The sequence below is a fragment of the Homo sapiens genome, chromosome 9 (genome assembly GCF_000001405.40).
Source record: "Homo sapiens chromosome 9, GRCh38.p14 Primary Assembly".
In the NCBI taxonomy this organism is placed as follows: Eukaryota; Metazoa; Chordata; class Mammalia; order Primates; family Hominidae; genus Homo; species Homo sapiens.
The window spans coordinates 136283014-136296293 of record NC_000009.12 but is presented as its reverse complement, the minus strand read 5'-3'; the positions used below and the strand labels follow the sequence as shown (position 1 = coordinate 136296293).

Here is a 13280-nt window from a genome sequence, read left to right as displayed (position 1 = left end):
ATTGGCTTTGTGGGACCCTCACTCCAAGTGTGAGCAGTGCCAGCTCGCTGGCCACTCCTGTAATGCTCCATGCCTCAGTTTCTCCACACTGCGTGCAATCACAGCCCTGGGGCCGTGGGGAGGGGCACTGCGTGGCGTGCGTTCTGTCCGTGCCCAGGTGCCTAAGCATCTGTCCCGTGTCATCAGTTGCCGGCCCCTCTGCTCCTAGGCAGAGCAGCAGCTTCCAGCCGAGAGTAAACGCCTCTGTGCCCATACCCAGAGAGGACACGCGGGTGAGGTGGGAGCTCAGCGGGGCTGCGGGGCCACCGTGTGCATTCAGCGGGGCCAGAGGCCGAGCAGAAGGGGACTGCGATGTAGGGACCCGGGCACCCAGAAGGTTCCGGAAGGCCGTGGAAACATGCGTACAATATAACAATTTTCTGCATGATCACCCCCTCCCTCCCCCAGGTCTTTGGTTTGTTTTATTTTAATGGCTCTGTTGAAAAATGACCTGCTTTCTGCCTGACACTGGGTCAGAGGGCATGCCACCGGCCGCATTCATCATCGTAAACACCGTGTCACCCTGACAGTGTTGACCATTAGTTTCTGTCAGTGACGAAGTCACAGCTGGGCTAAGGAGAGATGAGTTTCGGTTCAGAGGTCAGAGCCACAGGACTTGGGAATTGGATGAATTAGAAATTTGCTGTAGTTAACAAAAAATTAAATCACAATAGTTATAAAATATTCATCCATCCGGGCCAAAGGAAAATGAAGCCTGATATTTAATTTCAGATTATATCACCTCACTTTGCATTTTTTATCATAGATTAGGTCGGCCCCAGAACTTTGACAGGGCACTTGGGGACTTCATCCATTTCCACAGATTAAAAATCCTCTCGTAAAAAAATTAATTGCCATTAAACTGCTCAGCGGAAGAAAAAATGTGCCCATCAGGACCCATTTATCGAGCGGGACCCTCTGGCGGGCTAATGGGGAAGTGAGTGGCCAGCAATGGAGGGGCCGGGCGGGCAGGCGGGCAGCCCCTCCCCAGGCGGGTCCCTGGCCCAGCAACCCAGCGAGGGAGAGCAGCTGTAGGGACTAGGATGGAGAAACCCCACCGGGGCTCCCCTCCACGCTGGGTCCCCCCCGAAACCCAGCTGTGACCAGTTGGGTCACGCTGGCCTCAACTCCGGCCTTTGACACCACCCTGAGCCAGTGGAATCCTGACCCTCTTCCAGGCCTAACTCCTGCAATGATCGTGACTGCCCTTTCATTCTTGTGGCCCTATGGGAGGTGCTGTGAGATAGGCACCCCATTTTACAGATGGGGAAACTGAGGCATGGATAAGTGAAACACTTGCCTGAGGCCCATGGCTGGTGAGTGGCAGAGCCAGACTTAAACCCAGGTCTGAGAATCCTGAGACCACGCCCTAAACCTTCCTCTACCTTGGGGTCCTGTCCTAGACAGTGTATGGCCTTAAGGGGTCCTGCCCTAAAGTGGGTGTGGGGCATGGCCTGGGGTCCTGTCCTGGAGAGGCCGTGGCCATGGGAAGCCTGTCCTTGGGGACGTGGCTTTGGGAGGGCATGGCCTGGTGGGTGCAACCATGTAGCCCATTCACCTTCCTGGAGAGGTAGCTTCAGGCCTGTGGCTGATGGCCAGGGGTCAGGGCAGTGTGAGGAGGGTGCCGTGTCTGGGGGGTGCTAGGGAAGTCCCTGACTCAGTCCGGGAGCCTGCCCCTGGGTGCTCAGCTCTCTGGATGGTCCCTGCCCAAGGCACTCTCATTTGGCAGAAAGTCCCCCTTCATGGGGGCCAGGGCCAGCCCTGGCTGAGACTCCACAGTGGTCTTGACCCCAGGCCACGGGGTGGAGCTGCCCTGGGCTGGGCCTAAGGAAGGGGCATAGGGGCCAGGGACCCTTGGCATGTGTGGTGTTGGCCCTGCAGAGCCAGGTGGAATAAGCAGTGTGTGTGAGTGAATGTGTGTGTGAGAGCACGTGAGGGCATGTGTATATGAGCGTGTGAGAGTGAGAGCACATGTGAGGGCGTGTGTATATGAGCGCGTGAGAGTGTGAGACCACGTGAGGGCGTGTGTATATGAGCGTGTGAGTGTGTGTGAGAGCACATGTGAGGGCGTGTGTATATGAGCGTGTGAGTGAATGTGTGTGTGAGAGCATGTGAGGGCGTGTGTATGAGTGTGAGAGTGTGTGAGTGTGAGCACTTGAGGGCGTGTGTATATGAGCGTGTGAGTGTGTGAGAGCACATGTGAGGGCGTGTGTATATGAGTGTGTGTGTGAGAGCATGTGAGGGCGTGTGTATATGAGTGTGAGTGTGTGTGTGAGAGCATGTGAGGGCATGTGTATATGAGCATGTGTGTGTGGGAGAGCACGAGGGAGTGTGTATATGAGTGTATGAGTGTGTGTGGTTGTGTGTGAGCGTGTGAGTCAGAGAGCATATGAGACTGAATGTGTGTGAGAACGAGTGTGTGGTAGTGTGAGTGTGAGAGCATGTGTGTCTGTGTGAAAGTGTGTGAGGATGAGACCGTGTGTGAGCATGTCAGTGTGTACAAGTGTGTGTGCATGTGTGAATGCATGAGTGAGCATGTGAAAGCATGTGACTGAGCATGTGTGACAGCACGTGCGAGGGCATGCGTGTGACAGAGTGTGAGCATGAGTGTGAGCATGCGAGTGCCTGTCAGCATTGGCGTGCATATGTGTGAGCCTGGGAGCACGTGAGGGAGTTGTGGGCACGTGTGTGACAGTGTGTGAGCATGTCAGTGTGAGTGTGTAAGCGTGTATGTGAGCATGTGTGTTTGTGAGTGTGTGAGCATGTGTTTGTGAGTGTGTGAGCATGTGAGTGTGAGTGTGAGCATGTGTGAGTGTGTGAGCATGTGAGAGTATGTGAGCATGTGAGTGTTTGTGAGTGTGTGAGCATGTGAGTGTGAGTGTGTGAGCATGTGAATGTGTGTGAGCATGTGAGTGTGAGTGTGTAAGCATGTGAGTGTGAGTGTGTGAACATGTGTTTGTGAGTGTGTGAGCATGTTAGTGTGAAAGCATGAGTGAGTGTGTAAGCATGTGAGTGTGAGCGTGTGAGTGTGAGTGTGTGAGCATGTGTTTGTGAGTGTGTGAGCATGTGAGTGTGTGTGAGCATGTGAGTGTGTGAGCATGTGTTTGTGAGTGTGTGAGCATGTGAGTGTTTGTGAGTGTGTGAGCAATGTGAGTGTTTGTGAGTGTGTGAGCATGTGAGCCCAGGGCTGGCCCTACCTCCGGCCTTTGCCAGGGCCCTCGCAGCTGGGCCCACGGGGCTGGTGGGGCTGGTGTTGGCATCGGTGGCCGTGAGCTGGGCTGTGAAGTGCCACCTGGATGAGCGCCACTCACTGCATGATGCCATTTGCGTGCGAAGGCTCGTTTGTACTCGGGACGTGGGGCCGTTTGCTGCAGCGATGCCCGGGACTCCCTGCCCTGCCAGCCGGGGAGCCTTCACCGCTGCCCACCCGTGTGACTGCTGGCTCTGCTGGCTTAAAAGCAGGTTAATCTCCTGTGGCTCGGCACACGTGGCCAGCGGTGACAGGACCTCCCGTGCTGCGCGGAGCCCGATGTGCAGCACGGAGCGGAGGGTGGGGCTGCTGGCTCGCGGTTGTCACTCCAGCTGCTGCTGCTGCTCGGCGTTTCTTTCACATGTGCTGCGTGCCCGGCCTGTGCTGAGAGCTTCACCGGCAGAGCTGTGGGGCAGGTCCTGTTGTCCACGATTTCCTGAAGAGGACTCTGAGGGTCAGGGAGGAGGAGGACTCTGAGGGTCAGGGAAGCCACCTGCCCATGGCCGCCCTGAGACTCAGCCTTGCCCTGTGCAGGCTGAGGGTCCCGCTCTGCCCAACAGGGGCCTGGACATGAGGGATATCCTCCCGGTGCCTTCTGGGAGTGTTGAAGTGGCCTCCTGGCGCTTGCAGAGCCACCAACCTCCCCGTCCGGGCCAGTGCCCAGAGGGCCATGGGGCGCCCGGCTGTGTGTATGTTTTCTCTGTTTAAGATTCGGAGCTGGTTGGTGTTTACGCCTGGAGAAAGGGACAAGCTCTGGTGAGGTCGCTGCTTGGGCCCCCTCCCGTCCTCCGCAGGCACCATAGCAAGGATCCCTCGAGAGACCCGGCTCTCACCGTGGACTTAGGTACCTGTGCCTCTGCCATGGGCTCTGTCCTGCTCTGCTGTGGCATCTGGGGGCGGGCACAGAGAAGGAGACACCCAGGCTCCAGGCCGCCTGGAAGGAAGAGGTGTTGGCGCCTCTCACAGCAGCCTGCAAACACCCTCCAAACCTGCCACCCATTCAACTGGGGACTTTGGGCAATAAGTGTTTTCAAAGCCTGAGAAAAGGGTTTCTGGCCCTGGGAGGCTCCATCGCCAGTTCCCGGGGCAGGCATGCTGCCGAGGCTCTCTCCTGGCAGGAAGGCAGGATGGGAGCCGGCAGGGGCTCCCCAGACACAGGCACACCTGTGCTTGGCTACTGTGTGCAGAGCGGTGGCTCATCACACAGGCGTGGTGCCCACCCTCAGAGGGCTTCTGCCCAGCAGGGGCCCGAGGGCCTCCTCACCGCCCCCACACTCCTTGCCTCCAGCCCGGATGGAGGAGCTGGCTTTGCTCTCCCCTCCGCTCCCCTCCTCACCCCTGACACTCCTGTCTTTGCAGGAGACAGCGAGAAAGTCATAGCTGCCAAGTGCTCACCGGTTTGTGCCCAGTTGCCCGATGCCACCTCCGCCTACAGTGACCAGCAGGTGTCTGGGAACACACCCAGCCTGGCTTCCTTCGACCAGCCAGCGACCATACAGACGGCCATGGCCATCCTACAAGACCTGCGCCAGCAAATCCAGGCTGGGCTGGAGCTGGCCCAGGCCCGCAAGGGAGGGCAAGAGCTCGGGCCATCAAAGCGGAGGCTGCAGGACGTGGCAGGGAGGGGCTGCTGCAGGGACCCCAATGCCCAGAGCTCCTTCTCTAAGAGTCCCTGGGCCATGACAGAGAGGAAGCATTCCTCTTTAGAGAGGGCTAGGAGTGTCCACACCTGGGAGCCCTGGAGCTCCTCCACTGCACGGGAGTCCTGTCCGCAGAGGGCCTGGGGGGCCCAAGGACAGGACCGCTCCTTCCAGAGGCCGGAGAGTCCCCATGAGAGGTTGGGCCACTTCTCCCAGAGGCCCTGGAGTGCACTGGCTGGGCAGGCCTGCAGTCCGCAGAGGGCCTGGGGGGCCCAAAGACAGGGCCCCTCCTCCCAGAGGCCTGGGAGCCCCCCTGAAAAGCGGAGCCCCTTCCCCCAGCAGCCCTGGAGTGCTGTAGCCACACAGCCCTGTCCACGGAGGGCCTGGACTGCCTGTGAAACCTGGGAGGACCCTGGCCCCAGACTGCGGAACCCTCTGGAAAGGCCCAGTCCTCCAGCCCAGCGGCCCTGGAGCAGCTCCGGCGTGCAGAGGGCCGGCCCCCAGGGCAAGGGCAGAGGCATCGGCTCCCCCGTCTCGGCTGCCAAGCATGCCCTGCCAAGGCCCACCGGGAGCTTCCCTCAGAACCCACTTGGGAAGGAGAAGGACACGCTGCGGCCCTGCCCCAGGTCCCGGGGGCTCCTGGGACCCTCGCACAGCTCTGAGTCCTTGCGGGAGTTCATGCGCCAGAAGGCGCAGGCCCGGCGGCGGCAGGCCCTGGAGGAGAAGGCCTCGGCCCTGCGCACACGGGAGCTGAGGAGCCGGAGGCTGCAGGAGGTCTACCGGCAGCAGAGGGAGGCCGTCCTCGGCAGGGCGGTCCCCGTGGTCTCCCGGACCACCCCTGGCATCGTGACCTTTGTCCCCAGTTCTGCACAGTCCGGGGTACATGCTGGGGTTGGGTTGGGGGGACTCGGCTCAGCCATGGGCCAGAGGCTTAGGCGCTCAGGTGCTGCCTCCAGCCCCCTGGTGTCCTCCAGGGAGTGGCCGGGCGAGGGCTGCAGCTGGGGGCTGGGGACTTCGTGGCGTCGCTGCCACTGCCTGTAGAAAGCCAGAGCTTCTGTGGATGCCTCCCTGGGGGAGGCCCTGGTGAGGTGCAGGGTCAGACCTGGGCGCCTTTGCCCCTGGGTGCAACGGGGCTCCGGAGGGACCCCCTTGCCTCTCACAGCCCCTGAAGTGGGACCCCGATTCCTGCAAGACTCTGGGGAAGCAGCCTGAGACCCCCAAGGGAGGTCAAGGCCTAGCTCTGAGGCTGAGAGAACGGGGCGTGTGGTCTTCCCGAGCGGGGGGCTCTGATGGCATTGCCCTCTACTTTAGGGCCTGGAAGCCTCCGGGAGCCTGGAGTCCCCAGTGCTGGAATGGAGCAAAGTGACCTCTGGCATGGTGCTGGGGGGCCAGGAAGCCCCAGGCAGGTGGGTGTGAAAGTGTGGGTGCTGCACATGCCGGGCGGGGCCTTGGGGGGGGCCAAGAACAGTTCTGGGTGCGTTCTGGGGCCCTCGTGACATTGCCTCATGACCGAGAGGCTCCTCAGGTGGGGCAGGCTCTGCCCTGCCCGCCCACAGTGCCACCTGCCTGCTTGGAGGAGGCGGTCACCACTGTGCTTGTTCTCATGGAGGCAAGAGTCGCATCAAACTTAAATCCACCACGTTAAAGTGCACGTTCCGTGGCATTGAGCACCTTCCCCGTGTGCTGTGCAACCACCACTTCTACTGAGTTCCGGAACATTCCATCTCCCCATGAGCCCCCACCCTCAGGAGGCAGCCCCTCCTGCAGCCCTTGTGGGGGAGCCATGGGGGTCTCCTTTCTGCCTCGACGGATTTGCCTATTCTTTTTTTTTTTTTTTTTTTTTTTTGAGATGGAGTTTTGCTCTGTTGCCCAGGCTGGAGCGCAATGGCACGATCTTGGCTCACCGCAACCTCCACCTCCCAGGTTCAAGTGATTCTCCTGCCTCAGCCTCCTGAGTAGCTGGGATTATAGGCACCTGCCACAACGCCCGGCTAATTTTTTGTATTTTTAGTAGAGACGGGGCTTCACCACATTGGCCAGGCTAGTCTCGAACTCCCAACCTCAGGTGATCCACCTGCTTTGGCCTCCCAAAGTGCTGGGATTATAGGAGTGAGTCACCGCGCCCCGCCCGGATTTGCCTATTCTTGACATTTTATCTAAATGGGATCACCAAGTACGGGTCTGGCTTCTCTCACCGAGGATAACGTTTTCCAGGCTCATTCAAGATAACGTTTTCCAGGCTCATTCATGTTGCAGCTTGAGTCAGAACTTCATTGAGTCTGTGGCTGAATAATGCCCGGCTGTGGGCAGGTGACCTTTTCTTCACAACCTCGTGGCCAACGGATGCCCGGGCTCCACCTGCCGCTGCCGTGAATGGGTGCTTGCACCTGCTTTGGCCCTTGAGCTGTTTCTCTTGGGTGCACACCTGAGAGTGAATTGCATGGGCACGTGCACCTCTGTGTGCAGCTTTCTCGGGAACTTGCACCCTGTTCTCCACAGCAGCCGCCCTGGTTCCCATCCCCCGGCCGGCGTGAGGGTCCCCATCTCCCCACTTCCTCACAGCGCTTACTTTTAGGTTCTTTTCTGTGTTTCTGTTTTGCTTTGACTACTGTGTATTTTAATTTCTGGAGGCCCCTCCCCCTGGGGCATCGTGAATCACACACATGGGGTCTGAAGACCTCCCCCAACTTTGCTTGGGGGAGTTGCGCCTGGGTCTCACTACAGTTTCCAGCCTGGCTCTCGCCCAGGAAGGGCTGTGGAAGGCCCCAGCTTCAGGCCAGTGGCAAACACTCTCTGGCCTGGCCTCACGCTAGGCACCTGTGAGGAGCTCACGGCCAGGCCTCCTGCATGCCCTGGGTTCCAGCGGGCAGGGGGAGCTGGCTCAGAGGCCAGGGAGGGGCTCCCACCCACCAGAGCGTCCCACCCTGGACTCCCTCAGGGCTGCCCCTGGCGTATCTTTGGCAGCTGGTATTGGGGGCTTCAGGCTGGCCCCTGGGAGCTCAGCTCCCACCCCTCTCTGCAGGACCCGACCCCTCCCTCTGGCTCCTTTTGGCTCCATTTTGTCTTGAAGGCACTCGTTTTGGGATTCTTTCCCGGGAGTCTGGGTCACAGGGCAGCCCAGGGGCTGCATCTGTCAATGTCCAGTAAGACAAGGACGCAGGTCCTGAGTATGCCGCTGGGTGAGCATCCCATGCTGGCCCCGCCATGCCACCCCCTTCCCAAGGGCAGCCCCTCCCCCACTGGCCACCGTCGGGCTCCGTTTGCTTGACAGCCTCCCGAGTAGCTGGGACTCGTCGTCTCGGGCAGCTGCAGGGCCTCATCTCACTTCATCATGTCCTTGTCCTTTTTTTTCCCCACCTAAAAAATTATAGCTGGGCATGGTGGCTCCCACCTGTAATCCCAGCACTTTGGGAGGCTGAGGTGGGAGGATTGCTTGAGGCCAGGAGTTTGAGACCGGCCTGGACAACATAGTGAGACCCTATCTCTATTTTCTCCAGAACTCTTCATCTTCCCAAACTGACACTCTGTCCCCATGAAACACTAACTCTCCATCTCCTCCCCAGCCCTTGGCAGCCACCATTCTACTTCCTGTCTCTATGGATTTGCCTGTCCCAGGACCCTCACGTGAGCAGGAACACGCCATGCTTGTCCTTTTTGTTACTGAAACACCAGGGGTTTGGTCTCAGTCTTGCTGCTTGCCACACAGAAGGCCAATCGCGGAGACAATGAGTATTGCCAGGGAAGAGGCTTTAATTGGGTGCCGCAGCCGAGGAGGTGGGGGCTCAGTCTCAAATCCAACTCCCTGACTGACTAAAGTTGGGGTCTTGCGTATCAGGGAAGGAATGCAGCTCCGTGCAGGAAACGGGAACTAGGGAAGGGTAAGGAAGCAAGCGTGATGAACGAGGACTCTGGCGTCTCATTGTCCAGTTGCGGTGATCTGGTGCGTTTCAGCTCCTTGATTCTATGTGGGAGGCCTGATGGTAGGTTTCCTGAGAAAGGAACTCAGGTAAGACAAATGAAACTTTCTCACATGTTAAGACCGGCCAGGCTCATTTCTATGTTTATTCAAAAGAAACCATGAACGTGAGTTCCAGGGGACCATCGGGCCAGTTTCATTTTGTGGCTGGCTGACTTATTCTACCAAGGGTGATGTTGTAGCCTGCGTCGGAATGTCCTTCCATTTCAGGGCTGAATACTATTCCGCCGTGTCGGTGGACCTCATTTTGCTTCTCCGTTCGTCCCTCGATGGACACTGGGTGGTTTCCACCTTTTGGCTGTTGTGAATAAGGCTGCTGTGAACATGGGTGATGTCTTTGAGACTCTGACTTCAGCTCTTCTGGGTGCGTGGCCAGAGGCAGACTTGCCAGACCCGTGGTTGTTCTATGTTTGACCAAACTGCCTCTGGCCACAGCAGGACGGTTTTACACCCCACCGGCAGTGCCCGGGATCCAGTTCCTCTGCCCCCTCGCTCACGCCTGGCCCTGTTCTTTGCGGCAGCTGTGTGGTCTGTTGTGTGGATACCGTCACCGCTTCCCTGGTCCCTGCGGACAGACACTGGGTCCGTCACAGACGCTGCTGTGACGCTCACACCTGCAAAACACGCGTGCTTTCCGTGCCCTGCTGGGGCGACCGAGCCTGAGCTGATCTGTCCACGTCTCTCTTCCTGCAGCTTCTGCCTGTGTTTGAACAGAGCCTGGAACCATGCTGAGACCCTAGATCCCCCAGGGATGGGGGGCCCCCAAGATGGCCGGGATGCCCCCGTGCTGCTGTCAGCTTCACCCTCTCTGGGATCCCTGGAGCTCCAGGACCTGACCACCCGCTACCTACCCCGGGGGATGTGCATCTACCTGGACCCAAAGGAGGCTGAGCACCTGGGCACTTCCAGCTCCCTGCACCTCCGGCATAAGCAGGCGCAGCTGCAGGCGCTAGAGACCACAGCCAAAGTCCTCAAGCAGCGGGTCGATAGCCTCACCGCCAAGCTGCAGGGTGCCGAAGCGCTGGACACCGTCAGGGACCCAGCTGTGGGCCTGCTGCGCTCGTGCCCCCACAGCCTACCTGCCGCCCCCACGCTCGCCACCCCCACGCTTGCCACCCCAGCCTGCCCTGGAGCCTTGGGGCCCAACTGGGGCAGAGGGGCACCTGGGGAGTGGGTGAGCATGCAGCCCCAGCCCCTTCTGCCCCCGACCTACTTCCTGGACGGCGAGACACTGTCGTGGGGCCCCAGCTGGGAGCAACAGCAGAGTGTGAGCCCGAGGGCCCACTGCGAGAGCAAGCCCCGAGGTAGGCCGGCACCCGGGACACGGTGACCGCTGGGTGGCCAGGGGGTCCTGTGGGCTGGGAGGAATGGGGACCCCATTTTCTCTCTGAGCCTTGGTTTCCTTTCTGGAAAGGGGGCTAGGAGGACAACAGTCCAGGGGGTCTGAGCAGCATAGTGTACGTGGGCTTTCCCACGTGGCATGTGGTGTGTGTGGGCTCATCCTTGTGGGATGTGTGAGCTCTCCTGTGTGGCACATGGCACCCGCAGCAGCTATTGCTCCTGTCTTGTTCTCTGGCCAGAAGGGTGAGGCCGCTCCAGTGGCTCCTTCCCTGCTGCCTCCCTGCCCTTCCTCCAGCAGAGAGGCCTGAGGGCCAGGGAGGCTGCCACACCCCCACCCCTGTCAGGTGTGTCTCAGGCTCCTCTCCTGCTGTGATGGCTTGGGTCCCCCGTCCCGTGCTCCCGGCTGACCAGGGAGTGAAGCCAGGTGCCCTCTTCTCCAAGGTTTTCCAGAGGAGGGACACGTGGACGTGAAACCAGACAAAAGGCTGCAGAGAGGCGTGGCCCCCTTCCAGGCCCTCAGCCCCTCTGCGGGGAGGTAAGACCACCTGCCCACCTGCCCACCTGCCCACCTGCCCACCTGCCCGCCTGCCCACCTGCCCACCTGCCCACCTGCCCACCTGCCCGCCCACGCTCACGGGCTGCCTCTCACTTCACCCCCATGTGTCCCCGTCATGCTGGTCCAGAGGCTGCGGCCAGGGACCCGGAGCAGGTGGTGCTGGCTCGGACGCTGGCCGGGGCAGGGAAGCCCCGCGTCAGACACTCCCCCCACGAATGCCCCCTGAACTGGCTGCGGGCCTCGGGGACGCCACTGGTGCAGCTCCCTCTTGCCTGCTGCTCCAGACTGAGTGCAGGGACAGTGACTCGGGTGGTCCTTGCCATCCGGGCCCGGCGACCCCACCTGAGCTCTCAGGGCTGCCTGTCCATGGAGCCTCACACACCTGGCTCCCATCCCCAGCACGGGCTGCAGCCTCCTCTGGGGCCATGTCACACAGGTACATCTGAAGCCCCTTCCCGGGGACACTGTGCCTGTCCCGCGCCCCCAGGCCCCTCTCAGCCCAACTCCCTCCCCCTGGGGGAGCATCTGCCCTACCCCAGCGCCTGCAGCCCCAGTGAGCCCCAGGCTGAAGCGGAGCCCAGCAGGCTTGGTCCATGGGGGCTTTGCAGGTGGAAACTGAGTTAGATGCTCGTGACAGAGGTTGCAGTGCACGAGGCGGCCGCTCCCTCCCGAGCACCTAAGCCTCAGCAGCAGCTGTGGCCTTGAGTCCCTCCTGGGGATTTGTGAACACGTTTGGATCTCCTCTCCTGAAAAAACCCCCTCCACACCTGCCCCCCACCAAAAATCTTCCTCCGAGCCCACCACCTGCCCAGCCGGCCTCTCGCTCTTGCTGGTGTGGGCCGGGATCCCTGTCCAGGGCCTCCTGGCCAGCAGTGCCCTCCTGGTCCCCGCGGCTCCCTGCACACCGCATACTGCCAGGCGTTCTTGGGCCACTCCCGGCCACTCTCACCCCTCTGTCCTTGACGGAAGCACCCTGGATGAGGGACCCCGGCCTGACCTGAGCAGCTGCTTCCCAGGCAGCCCCGGAACCCGGGCTCGAAAACTCAGCACCACGGGCGGGGCAAGCAGGAGGCCAGGCCGGCGGCGGTCTCTCGGGAAAGCTCTGTGCACCCTCAATGCGTGGCCAGGTCCACCAGGGACACCTAGACGTGGGCTCCCCAGACATCAGGGCCTGGGTCATGCCACCCACCTCCACCAAGCTGTCTTCTGCTGGGTGGCCGAGGGCATGAGGGCAGACACCACGTGTAGCCCTAGGGTGGCAGTGGGCACTGCAGCAGAGGGGCTGTTGCCCAGAGTCCACATGTGGGGGAAGGAGGCGCCCTCTCCCGAAGCCCAGCCTTCCCTCCTTTCCCTGCCCCTCCCCTCCCCTCTCCTCCTGCTGGGACATTTCCTGGCCCGAGGTCTCCCCTGCCCATCCTTCCTAGGAAACCCCACCAGCTTCCTCTCCTGAAGCCCCCTTTGCCCTCAGGGGATGGCGGGCTTGGTGCCTGCGCCAGGGCCTTTGGGTTGTGCCCCATCTCACTCCCAACCCCACCTGCTGCCCAGGCCCAGTCCGGCCCATGGAACTGAGCCATTGTGACCAGAAGAGGGCAGCATCGGGCCAGACCTCGCCTCTGTCGCCTGCAATGCCCAGGACGACTTCTGCCCAGCCCTTGAGAAGGGGTGGGAGGCAGAGGCGGAGGCAGTGAGAATTTTTGAAAAGGTTAATTTCAGTGCCCCGGGCTCCCGGGGGACCAGCTAGATCTGTCCCCAGGGCCAGACCCAGGCTGAGGTCTCAGCGTTCCTGGCACAGCCTGGGTGCAGCCAGAGGGGCAGAGGTGCGGCCAGGGCTCCCTGTGGCAATGGCACCCAGACATTCCCATCAGGGCTGGGCACTGGACTGTGCCCTCCACCCCCACAGCCCTGCCGAGGCGGCAGAGAGACAGCAGGAGGCGGAATCATATTCATGAACCGTGGCCCGGAGGGACCCGGGCTGGTGGAGAGCAGGGATTAGGGAGAGGCTCAGAGGCTCGCTGGGCCCTGCCAAGGCTTCCGCCGCTGCTCGGGCAGCCAGGAAAGGGGCCTGGCCTGTCCGTTGCCACTCACCACTTGAGGGGCTGGAGCTTCAGGGCTGGCGCACACAGCCTCTGCTGGTTCCACCTGCTGCCATCTGGTGCGTTTCCCACGCTGAGCCTCTCGGGTGCCCCAGATCCCGGCCGCCTCTCAGACTGGTTTCTTTTTTGTTTTGTTTTGTTTTTATTTTTGAGATGGAGTCTTGCTCTGTCGCCGAGGCTGGAGTGCAATGGCTTGATCTCAGCTTGCTGCAACCTCCGCCTCCCAAGTTCAAGCGATTCTCCCGCCTCAGCCTCCCCAGCAGCTGGGATTACAGGCACCCGCCACCACGCCCAGCTAATTTTTGTATTTTTAGTAGAGACGGGGTTTCACCATATTGGCCAGGCTGGTCTCGAACTCCTGACCTTGTGATCTGCCCACCTCAGC

The 13280-nt window shown here is 60.7% G+C and overlaps 1 protein-coding gene and 1 long non-coding RNA gene across 21 annotated transcripts in view, besides 1 other annotated feature; one reads left to right on the top strand and one right to left on the bottom strand.

Moving 5' to 3' along the window:
• Positions 1-13280, top strand: part of CCDC187 (coiled-coil domain containing 187) — a 56929-nt gene that overhangs the window by 10608 nt on the left and 33041 nt on the right. For 19 of the 20 annotated variants that reach the window (XR_007061299.1, XR_007061300.1, XR_929795.3 and 16 more), the window contains exons 5-9: positions 3999-4133; positions 4649-5808; positions 6241-6335; positions 9599-10209; positions 10688-10781. Coding sequence is in view for 16 of the 20 variants with exons in the window: in XM_047423386.1 (XP_047279342.1) it covers positions 3999-4133; positions 4649-5808; positions 6241-6335; positions 9599-10209; positions 10688-10781 (2095 nt within the window). In the remaining 4 variants the exon portion in view is untranslated. Of the gene's footprint in view, positions 1-3998; positions 4134-4648; positions 5809-6240; positions 6336-9598; positions 10210-10590; positions 10782-13280 lie in introns of all 20 variants that reach the window. The other variant, NR_111982.1, reaches the window with a different exon arrangement.
• Positions 8974-13051, bottom strand: LOC124902308 (uncharacterized). The gene is made up of 2 exons (XR_007061862.1): positions 12888-13051; positions 8974-9470 (listed from the first exon to the last, which is right to left on the bottom strand). It is a non-coding gene; the product is annotated as an uncharacterized LOC124902308 (long non-coding RNA).
• Positions 12454-12513: a silencer, noted in NCBI's record as "silent region_20506". NCBI's record gives its function as "represses an Ori minimal core promoter by ATAC-STARR-seq in GM12878 lymphoblastoid cells {active_cell/tissue: GM12878}" and the evidence as "EXISTENCE:reporter gene assay evidence [ECO:0000049][PMID:35858748]".